Consider the following 20,710-nt stretch of genomic DNA (forward strand, 5'->3'; position numbering starts at 1 on the left):
AGTTCTTGCCAGCTGGTTCCTGTGTCCTTTTGACATGTCCCCATCATTATTTGAGTAATTCCTTACTGTCTAGAACAAGAAGTTCCAGGTTCATCTTGTACTCTGCCGGCCCTGGCTCTGGATTTGGCCAAGAAGCTGAGGAGCCAAAGAGCTCTGATTTCTTTTAGAGGAGACTAGTATTTATTTACTTATTTGTTTGTTTGTTTGTTTGAGATGGAGTCTCGCTCTGTTCCCAGGCTGGAGTGCAGTGGCACAATCTCGGCTCACTGCAACCTCCGCCTTCTGGGTTCAAGCAATTCTCCCGCCTCAGCCTCCCAAGTAGCTGGAATTATAGTCATGTGCCACCATGCCAGGCTAATTTTTGTATCTTTAGTAGAGATGGGGGTTTCACCATGTTGGCTACCTTGGTCTTGAACTCCTGCCCTCAGGTCATCTGCCCACCTTGGCCTCCCAAAGTGCTGGGATTACAGGCGCGAGCCACCATGCCCGGCTGAGAATGGTATTTAGAAACCAACATCTGAGCATATCTTGGGATATTGCAGCCCCCAGGCCCTTTTAGTGGACAAATCTATGGGTTAAGTATGTATGTCCATGTCCATATACACACATTAACATCTGTATGTCTGTTAACATTCACAAGTTCAACAACACATGCTTTATTTTAGTTTTCTCTTTCATGGATTTGTGGGACTCCTTCTGTGACAAGGTGAAACTGGGCTCCGACTGTTTTGAATATGTTTATTTACTCAGTCCATCCCACTGTGTGTTGGAATACTCTTCCGTGTAGACACTTCTCAACTCCCTCAAACACCAACCTCCACGCCAAGCCCTTCTCCCTGCCATATAGACACCCTCCTCGTCTCACTTGGTTACCCCTTCTGGACAGACGGTACTCTTCTGCAGAATAAGGCATGTCTTCCTCCTGGTGGAGGGCAGCCCCATGGCAAAGTACTTGGCTTGGCAAGCAGGGTGTGTTGGCTAGATTTCATTCTCTCAATTGACCGGACACCTTTGTGTTAATACGCAACTTTATGTGGCAACCCTGAGGACTCTGCCCCACCCCAGCTCTGCACCCATCTTGGGACTGAGGCACTGCTGCTGCAGGGGTGCTGCTCTGTTAAACCTAGGAACAGAAAGGGTGTTGTTGGTAGTTGACTTTCCACCATCGATGCCGGAAGATAACAGAAAACTCAGTAAGAGGGGCATAAAGTAGGTAGACAGAGAAGATAGCAAAAGAGGACTGCTGGAGTTTTGGTAAAAGGATTGTGTGCCTGATCCTGGTTTGTGTCCGAGGCTAGCTGCATCCCTGCCCTTGGTATTTGAGGGACAATGTTATAAAAGATTTCACTCTTGAAGTTAAGCTACCAACTGAAACAAGTCACATGGTCAAGCTCCAAGTCAAGGGACAGGAATTACACTGTGTGGGAGGAACTGCAAAGTTGCCTGTAGAAGGACCCGGATACAGACAGGGCCAATTACCCAGTCTACTATAGAGAGGTCAACTTGTTTGCCAAGGGCTAACTTGTTAATAAGTGGTAGAATCTAAATGAGGTCTGTCCAGCCAGGGTGTGTCGGTATTTAATGGCTCTTCTACTGCTTCTGGATAAAATAGTCAGGGACTTGTTCGGCATGTGGGTTGCTCAGGGTGTACAGGCCATTTATAAGGGTGTTCCTTTCCTTTTGCTTTCTCTTGCCTCCTTGTATGTAGGAAGTATACTTTCAAGAAGATAGTGTTAATCAGATACAGAACTTCCAAGAACCAGATGGCCTTCATTTCTTTCTTCCTGATTAGCTATATAAAACCAATTGTCCAACTGAGAAAGGCTTAATTTTACAGGCTTACCGGGGAGGCAAGCTTATTGTTTACAGCTTTCAACCTCCCTCTTGCCTTCCTTGCCAGAGGCTCGGCTCCAGCAAGGGAACCTGAATCTAACACTGAAGAATTTTGGAAGAAGTTGGATTTTTACAAGGAGTCCTCACACAGTGGATAGATACGAAAACGGTCTCTTTACTTCTGTGAGTTAAAGGTGTGCCTGTGTTGTTCTTAGGGCCTGCCTTCTATATCTTCTTTGTTGTGTCATATTTTAAATGGCAAATGACATTGACTGACAGTAAGAGCTTGTATCGTATTTTTCAGATAGTATCTGCATTAATGTCCTGTAGGAAAACGTCTGATAGTGCTGCAGACCATTTTAAGGAATTGAAATCTAAAAATTTCACTGAATTATAAATGTGCAGGTACACTATATAACTAATTATTAAGCTTACAAAGCGGCCAGGTGGTACTTGGAGAATCTTAGTATTTAGTGTGGTGGAAGAACTATTCTTGCATCAGTGGAAATATTACACTGAAGCCGTGTGCTTTTTTATGCAGAGTAAAGATAATAGTGGCTGGAATACAGGATCAGCCATGTGCTATGTGAAAGATGGCAGGCTTAAAAAAATCCATTTGTATTTCTGGCAAATTGTCTTAACATAATCCACATGCCTTTCTAATTTAAAATATAAAAAATTAAATAAAGTTTATACTGAAGTTATATCCATTAAGAAACTGGTAAATTAGTTAAGTCTCACAAGCTTAGACTCCAGCATGAGAGGGGGGTGTGTGTGCCTGTGTGTGTGTCCTGCTCACATTTGAATTGTGAATTCACATTGCATTCCCTTGCAAGGATGTGCCATTTTTAATTAAGACTAAAGCATGGTGGGGTATTCTAAATTGGGCCTGATTATAATTGCAGATGGCAATTGAGCTTTTGGAAGCTGGTTTCTTTAACTGTTAAATAAAAATTGTCTTTTTTAGTATTGGTTTGCAGAAGTTTAGCAGTGGATGTCGAGGGGAAAAAAACGGTAACCTCTTTCTTTCCTTGAAACTAAATGTCACAGCATATCCATCTTCTGTTAAAGGGGTTTAGCTCTGAAGAAATTTTTCTTAAGGCCTTTTTAAACAATTGATCAGATAAAAAATTTTGGCTCATAAAGCTGAACTTTCCAGAGACTTTCTGTTGATGAGAGTCAATACAGTAAAAAATGACAGTATTCATTGTTATTATAAAGAGTACTTTTGACCATCACACTTTTAGTGATCATAATTAGTACCTTAGGCTGGGCTTGGTGGCTCGCGCCTGTAATCCCAGCACTTTGGGAGCCCAAGGCAGGAGGACCATTTAAGCCCAGGAGTTCGAGACCAGCCTGGGCAGCATAGTGAGATCCTGTCTCAAAAAAAAAAAAAAAAAAAAAAAAGTTAAAAACTACCCTGGTGTGTTGGTGCGCATCTGTGGTCCCAGCTACTCGGGAGGCTGAGGTGGGAGGATTGCCTGAGCCTGGGAGATCAAGGCTACAGTGAACCGTGATCATGCCACTGCATTCCAGCCTGGGCAAAACAGTAAGACCCTGTCTCAAAAATTAAAAAAAGAAAAGGTACCTTAGCATACAGAGCCTTCTTCTGTTTGGTAGGCAAACATGGCTTTGTTCTGTGCTCCAAAAAGGATGGGCTTGACAGTCTGGGCTTTTAATGAATTTCTGTATGGAGTTCTATATACATACAATTTCTGCCTATTGATGAGTATGTACACCCACGAGACCAGTGGTTTGTAACTGAGGGAGGGTTAATAGTTTTGTTCTCTTCCAAGGGGACATTTGGCAATGTCTGGAAGCATTTTCGACTGTCAGGACTGGGAGGATGGTGCTACTGGCATTTGGTAGGTAGAGGCCAGGCATGCTGCTGGGCATCCAGTAGTGCACAGGACAGCCACCGCAGGAAAGAATTATCCAGTCCAAAATGTCAGCAATGCAGCCTTTGAGAAACCCAACACTGAACAATGAGCCTCTAGTGCCTCTTTTTGTCTCACTGCAAAAATGGGCTTGGGTTCAACATGGGCTTCCTATATTTTATCTTCCCATTATAGTACTGGTGGGTGTATGAAACATGAATTAATAGAAAATGGTGTTTTCTGGAAGAAGTCAACAAGGAAGGTGAGCTATGAATTAGTGGCATAGCAGGTAACTGGTATTGTGGACAGAGCCAGAAGTTTACAACAGACCTGGTAGTGGATTTGTTTATGGGCTTTGGGGAAATGGACTGTTTTGAACCCTAGGAAGTCTAGCTTTTTTTGGGTAAACATCACCTCTTAAATGTTAACTCTTCTAAGTGATGGATTATTAAACAGGTGCTGATGAAAGCATCTTAATAAAACACATCACACAGTTGTGTTACTCCTTCACGCTGAGCTCTGCCTAATGAAGATTGGCTGTGTAGAGCCACTACTGCTTCATTTTGTTGCATTTTGTATACACAGTTCAGAAAATTAAGAGACAAGGGAACTAGTATTGAGTAGAATAATAAAAGGACTTTCTTGAATGATGGCACTTCTGATTTTTTTTTTCCCTGCCCTACGTGACTGGACGAATAAGGGAGGAAGATGTCATGGGGCCTCTAAACAGCTGATAACAACAGGGTTCATTTACATTTTGTAGCTTGTGTGTCCCCCCTACTTCAAGCACATGCGTAGGGAATTGAAATTGCAGTTTGCCTATTACGTGTTGGCAGTAATCTTTCAAAAAAAATTTTATGTTTCAAAATCAGGCAGCCAACAGCAGTAGCCAGTGATATATGGGGCTATTGATGCGGATTGAATTTGCAGAGGGAAAATGGGATTTGGTTGCCATATGAACTCATAATGAGGTGGCCTCACAGATTTGTAATGGTCAACCATTATTTGCACCTGGAATCCGCCAGGAATCAAATACCTTTCAAGGAGAGACTGAAATGAAACTTGAGGGTTTTTTTTGTTCCTCGTCCGGTGAATGGAGCAGTTCCAAAGTAATGTCATTTGGTTTGTCAGTTGAAGATGCTTAAAGTTAACAGTTACTTTTTTTTTTCTTTTTTGAAATGGAGTTAACGCTCTTGTCACCCAGGCTGGAGTGCAATAGTGCGATTTTGGCTCACTGCAACCTCCGCCTCCCAGGTTCAAGCAGTTCTCCTGCCTCAGCCTCCCGAGTAGCTAGGATTACAAGTGTGTGCCACCATGCCCAGCTAGTTTTTGTGTTTTTACTAGAGACAGGGTTTCACTATGTTGGCCAGGCAGGTCTGGAACTCCTGACCTCTGGTGATCCTCCCACCTCAGCCTCCCAACATGCTGGGATTACAGGCGTGAGCCACCGCGCCCGGCCTTACAGTTACTCTTTTAATAAGCGTAGTGTGGATCAGTGGTCTTCACTGATCCCATTGCCTTATCAGCAAAAAAAAATTTGGACCCATGCCCCAGTGTGTGTGTGTATATATATATATATATATGTGTGTGTGTGTGTGTGTGTGTGTGTATATTTATTTATCTGTTATGTTCTTATACTAAAATCCTATGAAAATTATAAAACCTTAAAAATGTAAAGCATGAGGTCAAAACTATTCTGGATATAGAAGGCTAAATATTGTTTCCCACATCCCCTTTGAATTGTCTTATGCACCCCTGGATACTCAGTGCTGGAAATGACCAGCAGGAATCCTGCCTTAGGTGACGAGGCTGGCACTGGAGAATGTTGGGCCGTCCTTCCTTCCATCCTGCAGGGATCTTGCTAAAATAAATGACTTAACCTTGAAACTTTACTGATTACGTGGTATGTGCTATAGATGGGATTGGATTAATACTAAACATTTCAGCAGCAGTTCTTCTCCCCAGGTGTGGGGTGTAGGCATGAAATAGCTTAAGTCAACTAAAGCTCACCTCTTATGTTTTACCTGGATACTGTGCTTTAGAAGTTTACTTTCTGATTCATCTCAGCAATTTTGTTTTTTTCGCTTCCTCCCTCTTTCTCTCTCTGTCTTCCTTAACTCCTTCACTCTTTCTGTTCTTCCTTTATTCGTGCCAGGGGAGATTGGGACACAGTATTTTCCAAATATATTTATCCTCTCAGGTCAGTTGGAGTTTGTGGGCTAAGAGTATGAGATTTGAAGTTAGGATAATTATAGTATTTGGATGAGTGAATGAATGAATCAATAGATATGTCCCTTCATCCAAACTATGCTGGTTAGGTGATTGGTGGGCAAGCTGGTAAGTTCCTCTGATTCTCTGTTTTCTTATTTGTGAAGTGGAGATCGTTGCTAATGTATGTGGTTCTCTGTAGAATTAAGTAGAGAACACGGGAAATAGCCAGCACATGGTCTGGCATTGTGTACATGCCCATTTAATTTTGGGGTAATTATTATCTCCACAGTCCCTGTCCTTCTTGGAAGTCCTGAAAGTATTTCTTGAAAGTCATCACTCAACTTCAGAGCATCTTAGATACCAAAATAACAGATGGTACAGTATTTGCGGGGCATACATCTTTCACTTAGGTGTTCTTTTACTTTCCTTTTCCCGCCTAAGTTAACTTTCTAGAGGGAGGAAACCAAGTCTTCACTTTATTTTGTGGTTGACTTTTCTTGCCTCCCTCTCCAACACCTCGCTCAACAGGTAATCAAATAACTAATTTTTAGTTGTCAGGTAAAAAGACATTTTTGTGTTTAAGTTCTTCAAACCTTAGCTTTTGGTTGCATCAGAAGACTTGCTTTGAAATTGCACAAGGTAAAGAAGGGGGAGCTGGAAGGATTTCAGGAAGGAGAGTTTGCTATTTGTAATTAGTGCCTAACAGAAGTTGGTACATTTCTGTAGTTTTCCGTTGTCAGTCACTTTGGATGATAATTTTTTTTTTTGCTATTATTTTTAAGTGACAGATTGCAGTACGTATTTTAGGACCTGCCACCCATTTTGATTTGAAAGATTATGTTGTCGGAATTTCAGACACTGCAGGTAAAGATCTAATTTTACTAATTAACAAGGATTTACAAATCTTGTAAATTACTTTCCTCTTGCAATGGAAAGTGCTTTTCTCTGATTTATTATACAAATAATTGCAAATCCTTATAACTGAACAAGGTAAAACTTTTCGTGTCTTTTGGAATCTGTTTTCTGGTTTTGTGCCTTCAGTAATAGTCTTACCTTAGTAGACAAGATGTATAAATTGTGTAAATTACTAAGCAAAGGTGAAGGGAAATATATTTTGGTTATTTCCAGTTAGTAACTGCCTCTTAATGAATCACATTAAGTGCCATAGTCACTTCTTTTTTTCCCAAATTGTCTTTAAGAAGGTACATTTGCACCCTAAGTACAAAAAAGGGACAGTATTATTTTTCTGCTTTTAATAAAAGTAATAATGTCATATTTTTCCTGTTCTAGAATTTCAGGCATCACCCCCTGGAGCTGATGGAGAGACTGGTATTCCACTGTGTATCTTAATATCAGGGAAATATCTCACAGGCACATCAAGCTGATATCACAGGGTTTCCTTGATTGTAAACAATAGAATGGATTATGACTGACATGAGCCAACACTTGGATTTGGAAGGGTATGATAGATTTTTTTGCTCAGGGTCTAAGAATCGTAAGATACCAAACCTTGGAAGGGGCAGGAATCAGGACAGTGGGAGCTAATGGCAAGTTGGTGGTGGAATACATTGGCCCTACCATGTTTTGTTTTTAGACATGGCATTCCCAAGACTCAGATCCCTCCTTGGGCGAGGTTCTGATCTGCATGACTAGGGAGGACAGAACAACTGCATGGTTAAGGCAGAGGAAAGTTGGGGGACTAGAACACAGAGAAATCGGGGGGAAGGACCTTGAGGTTAATTACAACTAGGCCTTGCTTTCTTTAAGGTTATCCAGTGCAGGGCTTTGATCATAGAGTGGATTTTCAAACATTGGAGCAGGAAGAGGCTCCCGACTCTCACCAAAGCCCTGGGGAATGAATGACTTGTTCAGGAGGTAGGTATAGCTTGGGGTTACACCTGGTTTTCTTTAGCTTTGCAACAGACTAGAGAATTTGGTTCTTAAGTGATATTATCTAAAATTGGGAAAGAAAATCTCTTTCAGTTAGCAGAGATAAAATATTGACAATGCTGTGGAGGGGATGTCTATAAATAGGCCTTCTATAATTGAAAAGGAGCAATTAAAGAAGACACAAAACCTTCAGTTGCTGTTTGTAGAAGTCACATACAGGGCTACCTGTGAAAGGCTTCACCTGTTTGAGGATTATAACTATCACTTGAAGAAACAAAACATCTGAGGAGACAGGAGCAGGCAGCATGAGTCTATTTCTAAATTTTACTGCCAAGCACCAAATACAGCCGCTGGTGTTTATTCGGAAATGCTGTTGTTTGAAGGCATATCCAAAGTTCTGTTAGCCTCACTGCCTCCTTGCATTCAGGTGCTCAGTTTACCTGAAACCCCTAAAGAGCAGCCACTGAACTCAGGAGCAGATCAAAACCCTCTCTAATTCCTTTACACTTGGGACCCACCCCTTGATAAAGGTTTTGGGTTTGCTGAGAGTGCAGTATGTCATGGTGGTCCCCTGTCCCAGTATGGGTTGGGGATTAAGATAATCCTGTGAATTTAAATCCCGACTCTACCACTTAATAGCTGCGAACCGGAGCAAGCTTTTAACTTCCCTGGGCCTCTCTAGATATGCTGAATGAAAATCTACCCCCTCCTCCTTCCTTCTGAGTCCTTGTATTATTAGGCATGGCAATGAACCCAACTAAAAAACTACATTTCCCAACTTCCCATGCCAGTAGGGATGGTCAGTGAGTTCCAACTAGAAGTTGTTTTGGGCTTCCAGGAACACTGGAAGGTGAGAAGAAGTATGCTCTTTTTGATTTTTCACATTTTGCATTTTAGATACGAAATGTAGATGTGGTGGTTTGAGCCACAGCATCCATTTTGGGACCATGAGGGAAAGCCCAAGGGCATCGCAAAGACATGGCTATCTTTGGGGTGCTGAGTTCTATTAATACCTGCAGACTTCTTGTTATATGAAAGAAAATTAACCCTTATATGTTTAAGCCTCTGATAGCAGCAGCAGAATGCAGTTCCTGATACTTAACCTCAGGTTCTGCATCTGCAAAATGAGCATAATAGTACTCACCTTCTAGGGTCATTCTAAGGATTCAGTGATAGTGCATACACAGTACTTACCACTGTGACTGGCAGCTACTACTTTTCTTTTTAAATGACTGTTACCATTATCAAATATAGGGATGTGTATTTATTTGCTAGGGTTGTCATAACAAAGGACCACAAACTGGGAGGCTCAGATAACGGACATTTACTGTCTCACAGTTCTGGAGGCTGGAAGTCTGAGGTCAAGGTGTCAGCAGGGTTAATTCCTTCTGAAGCTGGAAGGGATGGATCTGTCCAACTTTCTTTTCTTTGGCTCGTGGATGGCTGTCTTCTGCCTGTGTCACTTTGTGTCATCTTCCCTTTACGCATATCTCTGTGTTCATATTTTCTCTCTTTTCAAGGACATCAGCCATATTCGATTAGGGTCCAACCTAATACCTCATTTTAACTTGATTACCTCTGTAAGGACCCTATCTCTAAGTAAGGTCACATTCGGAGATACTAGATGGGGTTTAGGACTTCAACATACCTTTTTTAAGGGGGGATATGATTCGACCCATCACAGTACATACGTAACATTATCAGTCAAACTTTAGTCTCTCACCCTTTTTCTGATTACAGAAACTCTTTATAAAAAAAATCAAATACTTCTTCATGAAAAATTGCTTCCCTTCCCACCAAAATTGTCCTGTTGTATAAATGACTTTTAACTTTCATCTCTTACATTTTAAACCCATCAACTAAACCCAGCTTCTGGAATCTAAGGGCTTGTAATGGGGCCATTTACATTTCCAGTTAGTTTTAGGGTGGTAATGATCGGCTCTTAGGACGCTCTTCGATTTGAGTATTCACTTGGGTGTGTTTCAAGCCCGTGACTTGGAAATACAAGGGTTTTCTGTTTATTATTCCATACTCTTTAGAGTAGTGTTGATGTGGTCATAGTCATACACGTCATGGGATGTTTGCTGCTCTCGATGAATTTACTGGCCATTGGTGCCCTGGAGTATCTACTACAGAGTGCCCAAGACAGGCTGCCTGGGGATATTTAATGTGTCTAAGAACACTCTTAAGCATTTCAGCCTCCAACATAAGCTCAGTAAGGTGGGACTTGCTTAAATCATATTCCGTGTATAAAAATTTAAAAATGTTGAAGATTTTACTGTTGCAGAACTTACTCCATTTAAACTTGAAACCCAGTGTTCCTACAGCTGCTTTCCTTTTCTATGCAAATATTTCAAGCATTGAGACCATTACCTCCTGAGCAAAGCAGAGTCATTTATGCATTAAATAAATAACTTTCCTGTCCCAACAGGGTTTGTTTGTTTTTTTTTTTTGGGGGGGCGGGAGAGATCACTTTTAGGCGACATTATGTGTTTGTAGGGGCTTGTCTTCAAATAAAAGGCATAATTGAAATACAGCTGAATAGGAATCAAGAGTGTGATTCAAGTGTAAGGTAAAATTGATGGCATCTCTTATTGCTTCGTAGATGAATTACTTTATGGCAGCTTTTTCCTGATAAAGCTTTTTTAAAAACTAAAAATGCATTATTCTAGTCTCTAATTGTCCATCCTGACAGCAGCAAAAAAGAAAGGCTGTGTTTTGCTTTTTGTTTCTTTTCCCTCCCTTAGCAGTGATAGTAGAAATTGCTTATTGCTGGAAAATCTGTATTTGCCTGCTGGTATGCCATTAAAAAAGGGATTTGGTAGCCTGAATTCCATTTTTTCTTTAACGCAAAACATAAGGGGTTGCATTTTCCATACTGGCAGAATGTGGAATGGGTAGGTGACTTGAATGTTGTCTTTTCCACTTAGTATTACCGTTCAAAACCCACGTACACCAAGGAATTGGAATATTCGAATGTGAGACAGAAAGATGACATTGCGGTTAGCACTGTCTGTATCCACCAAATCGTGAACCTTCTCAGAGTCATAGTCCCAGCCAGGGAAGTAAGAGTGTCGCTCTTCACTATTGCTGCACACATCCTGCTGCTGGGTGCCAAAGTGGGGCAGGTGCTCAACTTCCCAGCAGTGTTAGGAGTAAAGGCTGGTGGGGGAGAAGGCTGGTTGGCAGATTATTAAATGTATTTTACATTTGCCATCCAGTTTCATTTTCATGGCCCACATGGCCACCTAGGATATATTCTTAGAAAAAGGAATAGTAACTCAAATCAAGATCAAGCTTCTGATCAAATGCTGGGGATACAGCCTGATGTAAAATGGGACACCTGGATGCAATCAGCAAAACCCACAATGAGGGGAATTCTACACTACAAATGATCCTGTTATATCCAATTTATGTATGGAATGGCTTAAAGAGGCAGAGAAAAGCCTTTGGATTAAAAGAGACTTGAGAGACCTGTCACCCAAATGCAGTGTGTGGACTTTGAATTTGAACAAATCAATGTTAAAAGCAAATTTTTTTTTTTGAAGTAGGGAAATTTGAGTACTGGATGTTACCTGATTTATGGAATTATTGTCACTTTTAAGTACAGGCAAAATAGTAGTGTTGGAATTATACTTTTTAAAAGAGTCCGTATCTTTTAGTGACAGATGCTGCATTAGTTATAGGGAAATTATGATGTCTGGAACTTGCTTTAGGATAATTCGGTTGGAGTAAGGTGTGATTTGGGGTAAAAAAACATAAAATTTGCCTGATACGATAATTGTTGAGGGTAAGGGAATGGTTATGTGGGGACTCTTCTATCTCTGAATGTTGGAAATACAATAGAAAGTTAAAACATAATGACTTACCTGTGTTCTATTCTTTATGATGGCTGCTGGCTTTATCAGGCCTACTTCTTTTTTAAGTATTTGTGGGGTAATGAATATTTAAATATGTAACCTTTTTACCTCAAAGTAATCTAAGTATAAATATGGTCACTAACTGCACAACCAGGTCTCACAGAACTGACAGGTTTTATTTAATGACCCATTTTCCTTTATTTGAACTCAGCCCCATGGAATAAAGGGAATGTTTTATTCATCAGACTGTTCACTTTTTTAAATTTTAGAATGCTTTTGTAGGAATTAGCAGGTGTTTAATTATCAATGGGAGGATTCTTTATTTGCTGAATGCAGTAGAAGGTCATTAAAATAAGTTTAAAATATGAAAGAATCAAGTAGTGAGAGAACTTGGGGGGAAATGAATAAATCTATTCTCTTGTGTCCTAGGTTTGTTAAGGTCAAATGAGGTGTGGTTTAATGTTTTGCAGCTTCATTGTAAACCAAGCCAAAGGAAAATCTTTCTGCCCTTTGGTCAAACATTCCTGAGTGAAGAGAGCACTGGCTGACATGGAGGAGTGCCAACATTTTTGGGTCATACTTTAGAACTTAAGTTTAGATAACTGAGATAAGCCAGGATTTATGGACAGACAGATATATCCCTAGTCTCAACATTAAGCCATTATTTCCATATTGCATCGTCTTTCATGCTCTAAGTATATGTTGGAGTGCCGACTGTGGATTTAGCTGTGTGCTAGGCACTGGGGAATAAGACAAATAAGAATTAGATATATGTGGCTCTTTTGTTTAACTTGAACATAAATGTTTTCCCTCTTTCCCTTTGCTTGTAATTTTTCTCTTTTCTAGCAACATTGCCCTGTCAACTTCTTATCTATTTTTTCATTTTTATATATTTATTTTTTTTGAGATGGAGTCTCACTCTGTTGCCCAGGCTGGAGTGCAGTGGCATGGTCTTGGCTCACTGCAGCCTCTGCCTCCTGGTTCAAGTGATTCTCCTGCCTCAGCCTCCCGAGTAGCTGGGACTACAGGTGTGCACCACCACACCCAGCTAATTTTTGTTGTTGTTGTTATTGTTGTATTTTTTGTAGAGACAGGGTTTTACCATGTTGGCCAGGCTGGTCTTGAACTTCTGACCTCAGGTGATCCGTCTGCCTTGGCCTCCCAAAGTGCTGGGATTACAGGCAAGAGCCACTGCACCCAGCCCTGTCAACTTCTAATGATATAATGTTGGTGGTGATGGTAAATTATTTGGATTTGGGGAAAAGGTGTGGTTAAGGTGAAGCAGTTTGGAGGTGGGGTAAGGTAGGGGGAGGTGAACAGCTACCACTCATCCATCTCTGACCCTGTGCCATACTGCTTATTTATTCATCCACAAATCCTGCAAGATAAGAATCACCCCTATTTTGCAAGGAAGGAAAGGAAACTGAGCTTGAGTAACTTGATCACAGTCTCTCGACTCATAAGCATCTTTGTTGGTAAACACCCAGGTCTGTTTAAAGCTGTGCTTGTAACAAACATACCACATATGTTCTCCAAGACGGTAGGTAATGTGGGCTGTTTTTCAGTGAAACGTCTGCCATGCATTTTCACCATGATGTTGCTTTTTATTGATTTCATTTGGGAAGTTTAGGGAGAAGTAGGAGGGACACTTGGGAAATAGAGGCATTTGTGCCTTCAAGCAGTTCACTCGGGGCACCTGCATGAACTTCCAGGTGTCCTAAGTTAGATTTATTTTTTATTTTGAGATGGAGTCTTGCTCTGTCATCCAGGCTGGAGTGCAATGGCGCAATTTCAGCTCACTGCAGCCTCTGCCTCCTGGGTTCAAGTGATTCTCCTGCCTCAGCCTCCTGAGTAGCTGGGATTACAGGCACCCACCACCATGACCGGCTAATTTTTGGGTTTTTAGTAGAGATGAGGTTTCACCATGTTGGCCAGGCTGGTCTTGAAACTCCTGACCTTGTGATCCGCCTGCCTTGGTCTCCTAAAGTGCCGAGATTACAGGTGTAAGCCACTGTACCCGGCCCCTGAGTTAGATTTATACCTCAAATGTTTTCTGGGTAAAAGAGGGTCCTAGGAAGGACAGACACTATTAGGTTTAATTGCTGTGAAATTAATTGCTAGCTGTTCATCTGCGCTGCTGCTTTGTTTTAACATCAAAGTTGACAAAGTCTCCACGGTGTAGTAGAGAGAGGTCTTTGTGAAGAAAGCTCCTTGCCAGCTGTGGGCATTGACAGGAAGGCACTCTCTTCCTAAACCTTGTAACTGATATTGCTTTTGCGGTCTCAGGTAAGAAGGAGAAAAAGGGTAAAAGTTTACTGTAGATTCTTTAGAAAGCCTATGGCATTTTTGAAGTCATAATAAAAGATAGATTCCAGTGGATCTCCTAGAGGCTCTCTGTGTTAACTGGCATTGTTTAAGTGTAACATGTCTTCAGCTTTAGGCTCCTTAGCCTTTCAAGGGCCCTTCTGTCAAGCTGATGGGCTACCATGCCAGAAATGAAGTCCGATATTAAAATGTTTGTTCAACAGAAGGTGGATGGAGAGCAGCATTTTCAAGTAATGGGCAATAAATCATGGAATTGGAGAAGTTACTCAAATTTTGGTAATGTGCCCAAAGACCCTGGCCATGGCCTTATGACTGAGACATGCATATAAGTGGTGGTTCTTGGCCTTAGGGTGCTAGGAATTGGTTGATTGGATGTGTGCTTTAAATAGATGATATTATTGGTTCAAAATAAAATGATGGGGTGAGAACTGTAAATGCCTCCTAGACCATATTCTGGGTCTTTTTTATGGAGTTGTAGATAGAGCAGATTTTGAGATAAGTATTCATTTAGTTAAAGGTGTTGTCATGAAATTCCTTCTCAAGGAGTTGACTTGAGCTAACTTGCATGTTAACAAATACCACTGTTCTGGCTTTCCACCATCCTGTATGAATATGGAAGTTACATAGAAATAAAACATTTAAGTTTTCTTAGCGTTTAAAGCACTAAACTGTAACATATCTGGTTAATACTTTAGTATTGTGTGCTTTCCTATTAATATGACTTTTTTCCCAAGTAAAAGATGTTTTCTCCTGTCTTCCTCTCTGATCAGGGAAAAGAAAACAGTTTCTGTTTTTCTTTGGAGAGCTCTTCAGGGGATCTTTTTAAGGATTGACTCAACTTTAGGAATTTTTCAGTTGAGCTGACATTCATTGCAATGTGTTTGTGGTTTAGCATGGTTCAAAGTATTTATCATCTCAAGTCTCTTTGACCACAAGGGTAGAAAGAAATATTCGCACACTTGCCCCAAAGTGCAAGTGTGCACTTAAGTAGATTGTCAACTACTTAAAAAATGTATTTTTAGCGGGGCGCGGTGGCTCATGCCTGTAATCCCAGCACTTTGGGAGGCAGAGGCGGGCAGATCATGAGGTCAGGAGTTCGAGACCAGCCTGGCCAATATGGTAAAATCGTGTCTCTACTAAAAATACAAAAATTAGCCAGGCGTTGTGGCACGCGCCTGTAGTCCCAGCTACTCGGGAGGGTGAGGAAGAAAAATCGCTTGAACCCGGGAGGTGGAGGTTACAGTGAGCCAAGATTGTGCGACTGCACTCCAGCCTGGGTGACAGAGCGAGACGCTGTCTCAAAAAAAAGAAAAAAGAAAAAAAAAGTTTTTTTTTTTAAAGACAAATGAAAATTCAAATCTTCAGACTATTGGAAGCAGGGAATTGTTATCAGAAGTGAGGAAGCAGAGCTGACCATTAAAGTTTTTTACTACTATCTTGAAATTGTATGGTAAGAAAAAAAAAATGGGTAGCAACCTTTTGCCAGGTGTGACAATTTCTACCTGATCTGTTAAATTTAGTACAGTAGTCCACCCTTATCTGCGGTTTTGCTTTCTGTGGTTTCAGTTATCTGCAGTTGCCTGCATTCTGAAAATAGGTGAATATAGTATGATAGTATATTTTGAGAGAGAGAGACCAAAACTATATTCACATAACTTTTATTACTGTTTGCTGCTATACCTGTTCTATCTTAGTGGTTATTGTTAGTCTCTTACTGTGCCTAATTTATAAATTAAACTTTATCATGGATATAGTTGTATAGAAAAACCACAGTGTATATAGAGCTCAGCTCCATCCATGGTTTCAGGCATCCACTAGGGGTCTCAGAATGTATCCCCCTCAGATAAGGAGTGGGTCTGCTTTATATTATTTTCCAAAAATTGCGTTTGTTATATAAAAATCCATGTTGCCAAAGTTTTTAAGCTCTGTGTTTTCAAAAGTAGTTTAAATACTATAAAAGTGCTTATTCTACTCAGTCATTGGGGAGAGTATTTCTGGATCAGTAGAGAAAAGGGAAATTGCAAGTACATGAAAAGCTTCCCCTTATTTTTTTTGTGATGTAGGCACTGGAGGTACAGATATAAACAAGATGTGGAACCTCCCTTCAAGGAATTCATAATCCAGTGACAAAGAGGGAAATGTAAATAATCAATTGCTGTAAAATGATATAGATGCTCTGATTGTAGCCTGGATTGGAGGCAGTGGGAGCCACATATAGGGAGTGATCAATTCTGCAAAGGTAAGATTTCGGTCAAAAATCTATAGTCAGCTGGGTGCCGTGGCTCACACCTATAATCCTAACACTTTGGGAGGCTGAGGTGGGCAGATTGCTTGAACCCAGGAGTTCAAGACCAGCCTTGGCAACATGGCTAAACCTCATCTGTACAAAAAATACCAAAAAAATTAGCTGGGTATGGTGGCGTGTGTCTGTAGTCCTAGCTACTTTGCAGGCTGAGGCAGGAGGATCACCTGAGCCTGGGGAGGTCAAGGCTGCAGTGAGCCGTGATTGTGCCATTGCACTCCAGTCTGGGTGACAGAGTGAGACCCTGTTACACACGCACATACACACACACACACACACAAATCTATAGTCTAGAGGAAGTTATAAGGCACATAGGTGTAATGCTTATAATTGATAGGAAGTGATGAGTATGAAAGCAGGTTGACAGATAAAGTGCTCTTTGTTTCTAGAGAAAGAAATCACTTCTGTTCTAGGATATTAGGGAAGGCCTCAGTGAGGAGGATGATAATTTTGCTATATGTTCAGCAGCCATTTTCAGATGAGATCAGGCACGTTCAGGGTGGCATGGCCATAGACACAGCAGCCATTGTCAGTTTGCAAAGAGCTTTCAAGTACATCATCTGCTAGTTATTTGGAAACCCTGGGAGGAAGTTGTGATAATTTAGATAATGACCCAGAGAGGTAGGGCAACATACCAAGGGCCACCCAGCAAGTGATGATGTAAGCATGTGTTTAAGTTGAGCATTTCTGACCAATTATTTCACAAAGAACTAGAGTCATTACATCACTTTCCTTCATCCCCTTCATCCCCCTCCCCTCCCTGCCCATGGCATCACATTACATGTAGGATAAAGCTTTCACTCTGGACCATGTTCTGCAAGATTCCACATGATCCAGCTTCTGTCTTTCTTCCAGGACTAGCCTTCTTGCTTACCTTGCATGCCGGCTGTTTCCAGAATTTATGAAACTTTTTTCCACCCCAGGGTTCTTACACATGCTGTTCAGTTACACAGAAAGAGTCATCCCCACCATCCTTCTTCTTGATTTGGCGCATTGTTAGAATGTCACCTCCTTAGGGAGACTTCCCTGATCTTTGTATCTAAAGCACATCCCATCCTCCCATGAGCCTGCATCTCTCTTCTCTGTTTTATGTTTGTTATGGCACTTAGCACTATCAGAAGTTGTCCTTATTGTTCATTTGTATGTTGTCTTGTATTCCCAACTGGAGTGTGAGTTTCATGATGGGAGTGGCAGGGATTCTTTGTTCACTACTGTTTCCCCCAGCACTTGAGATATAGGAAGCACTTGGTAAGCATTTGTTAATCAAATAAAGGAACCTGTAGTAGCTTAGGGTACAATTACAAGTGGTTTTCCAAGAGCCAGAAATGAAAGTCATTGGGATGAGTTATAGATGCAGCTTATGGATTGGAAATTTGGAATGTATTTGGGACAAAATGATGTGAAACATTTTAATTTAATTTTTGGATTGTTCATTGCTAATGTATAAAAATACGATTGATTTTTTGTATATTTATCTTGTATCCTTCAACCTTGATGAACTCGTTTATGATCTCTGATAGTATTTTTTGTGGATTCCTTAAGATTTTCTGTATACAAGATTATGTCATTTGCAAATAGAAATAGTTTTACTTATTCTTTTCCAATCTGGATGCCTTTTATTTCTTTTTCTTGCCTAATTGCTCTGGCTAGAACCTCAGTGTAGAAGTGAGGTGGCCTCCAAAATAGAAGTGGTGAGATCAGACATCTTTATCTTGTACCTTATCTTAGGAGGAAAAATATATAGTCTTTTACTATTGAGTATGATGTTAGCTGTGAGTTTCTAATAGATACCCTTTTTCAGGTTGAGGAAGTTCTCTGTTATTCCTAGTTTGTCGAGTGGTTTTTTTTTTTTGGTGTTGCTGTTTTGTTCTTTTTATGAAAGGGTCTCAGTCTGTCACCCAGGCTGGAGTGCAGTGGTGTGATCTCAGCTCACTGCAACCTCCACCTCCTGGGTTGAAGCGATTCTCATGCCTCAGTCTCCCAAGTAGCTGGGATTACAGCAGTGTGCCACCATGTCTGGCTAATTTTTTTTATTTTTAGTAGAGATGGGGTTTCGCCATATTGGCCAGGCTGTTCTTGAACGCCTGGCCTCAAGAGATCTGTGTGCCATATGATCTATATACATTAATTTCTTACTGAAGCAAAAATACCCAAAGTGCCAGGATTACAGGTGTGAGCCACCAAACTGCCTGTTTTTTGAGACAGAGTCTCCTACTGTCATCTGGGCTGGAGTGCAGTGGTGCGATCTCGGCTCACTGCAGCCTCCGCCTCCCAGGTTCAAGCGATTCTTCTTGCCTCAGCCTCCCAAGTAGCTGGGATACAGGTGCCTACCACCACGCCCGGCTAATTTTTTTGTATTTTTAGTAGAGACGGGGTTTCAGTATGTTGGCCAGGCTGGTCTCGAACTCCTGACCTCACGATCTGCCACTTTGACCTCCGAAAGTGTTGGGATTACAGGCGCGTGAGCCACCGTGCCCGGCTGTGTGTGTGTGTTTTTTTTTTAAACCATGAAGTTGTGTTGGATTTTATCAAATGCTTTTTCTGTGGAAACCTAAACTTTTAGGCTACAGTTCTTTTTAAAGCAGGTAGCAGGACAGAACTTCTTGACCACCACTCAGCAGAGGTTTGAAAGTTTCCCCTCTTCTCCTGTGAGGTCACTAAGCATTTGTTACAGAGTTAACCGAGAAGAATGCCTGTGCTTATCCTCTGGGAACAACTGTAATGATGGGATGTTTCTCTATAAGTCTGAGAAATAAACTGCTGGAATGTGATGCCATATCTGATATGCTGTGTTTGTTTTGCCAGTGTAATACTGTCACAACACTGTTGAGTGAGCTGATTTCAAGCTGTTGATATAGTTCAGACCTTGGCAGTTCTCTAATCTCCTTGACACTTCAGTGTTTGATTGCATTCGTTTGCCCTGCAAATAGTCGACAGTGTAAGTGATCTCAAAGTGAGAATATATCTAAAGTCTGTATTTGTAATAGACAAGGTTTGAAGGAAAGCTGAGACCTTGTTAAATTCACATATGGACTTCCTGAGCATGCAATAAAGACTTAACTTCTACTTGATGGAGCCTGTCAAACAGCCATATTACAGGCATGATTTGGTTGCATGGGACTTCTATTCTTAATGTTAAAATAAAATCCAATAAAATGAGTTGGCGAAAATCAAGCTGTCATGGAGTTGCTAAAAATCTTGTTCCAATGAAATGCTATGAGAAAGGCCTTATCATTATGCTGTTTAGTTTTTACCAATTACCCTATAAAGTATTAATTTATATATATATTATATATATAAATAATAATTATTATTAGAGACAGAGTCTCACTCTTATCACCCAGGTTGGAGTGCAGCGGCATGATCTCAGCTCACTGCAACCTTGGCCTCCCAGGTTCAAGTGATCCTCCTATCTCAGCTTTCTGAGTAGCTGGGACTATAGGCATGCACCACCACGCCTGGCTAATTTTTGTATTTTTTTGTAGAGGTGGGGTTTCACCATGTTACCTAGGCTGGTTTCAAACTCTTGAGCTCAAGCTTTGGCCTCCCAAAGTGCTGGGATTACACATGTGAGCCACTGCACTTAGCCTATATTATTAATACTATTATTATTGTTGACTTCTTTTTACAAAACAGAAAGCTTGAGTCTTAGGCTGATTGCTTCCCTAAGGCTTAGATGGCCTATGGATTTGATTCCAGGTAGCCTATCTCCACATTTTGTACTCTTGAACATTTTCTAATTTATTTACTAATTCCTCAGTCACGTAAATGTCATCCATGAAAAATATTAGAGTTTTGGTATCTCAGAGATGGTTCCTTAGAGCTCTCAGCCCTAAATGGAAACACATCTTTTTGATAGTGTGTTTTATTTTCCAAATCCCAAGAATCTGTGAAATTAGTAGTGTTCTTGACCAACAGTTAGATAGCCTCTGCTTGAATGCTTCTAATAACTGGAGAGCTCACCACTTCATGGTGACAACATTTTTCATTCTTGCATAAATTCTTCCTAAATTTGAGCTATCCTGAAGGTCAGTTTAGCTTTCCTATCGTCTAAAGTACTGTATATTGCTGTCTGAAAACACACAGACAACTAAATGCTCCAGTTGCTTTTTTTCCCTTTTGGTGACAGCTTTATTGAGATAGAATTCATATAGTATACAGTTTACTCATTTAAAGTATTTTGCATATATTCAAAGAGTTGTATAATGATCTTATTTTAGAACATTTTTATTATACCCGAAAGAAACCTTATACCCATTAGCAGTTACCTATTTTCGTTAAACACCTCCAGCCCTAAGCATCTACTAATTACTATCTTATAAATTCGCCTATTCTGGACATTTCATTTAATAGGTGGCCTTTTGTGTCTGACTTCTTTCACTTAGCAAAATATTTTCAAGGTTCATCTATCT

General features: G+C 40.7%; 1 protein-coding gene and 1 long non-coding RNA gene across 6 annotated transcripts in view; both read left to right on the forward strand.

The window, feature by feature from the left end:
* The window catches only part of PTPRG (protein tyrosine phosphatase receptor type G), a 736,039-nt gene that overhangs the window by 54,189 nt on the left and 661,140 nt on the right, over positions 1-20,710 (forward strand). The window contains exon 1 of one of the 5 annotated variants that reach the window (XM_047448646.1): positions 1,471-2,027. The exons of the other annotated variants lie outside the window; for them this stretch is intronic. The gene's annotated coding sequence lies outside the window, so the exon portion shown is untranslated. Of the gene's footprint in view, positions 1-1,470; positions 2,028-20,710 lie in introns of those variants that run through there. 5 annotated transcript variants of the gene reach the window in all.
* Positions 1,471-19,074, forward strand: LOC124909388 (uncharacterized). Its single transcript, XR_007095940.1, has 2 exons — positions 1,471-2,016; positions 6,704-19,074. It is a non-coding gene; the product is annotated as an uncharacterized LOC124909388 (long non-coding RNA).

The sequence above is a fragment of the Homo sapiens genome, chromosome 3, assembly GCF_000001405.40.
Source record: "Homo sapiens chromosome 3, GRCh38.p14 Primary Assembly".
Lineage (NCBI taxonomy): Eukaryota > Metazoa > Chordata > Mammalia > Primates > Hominidae > Homo > Homo sapiens.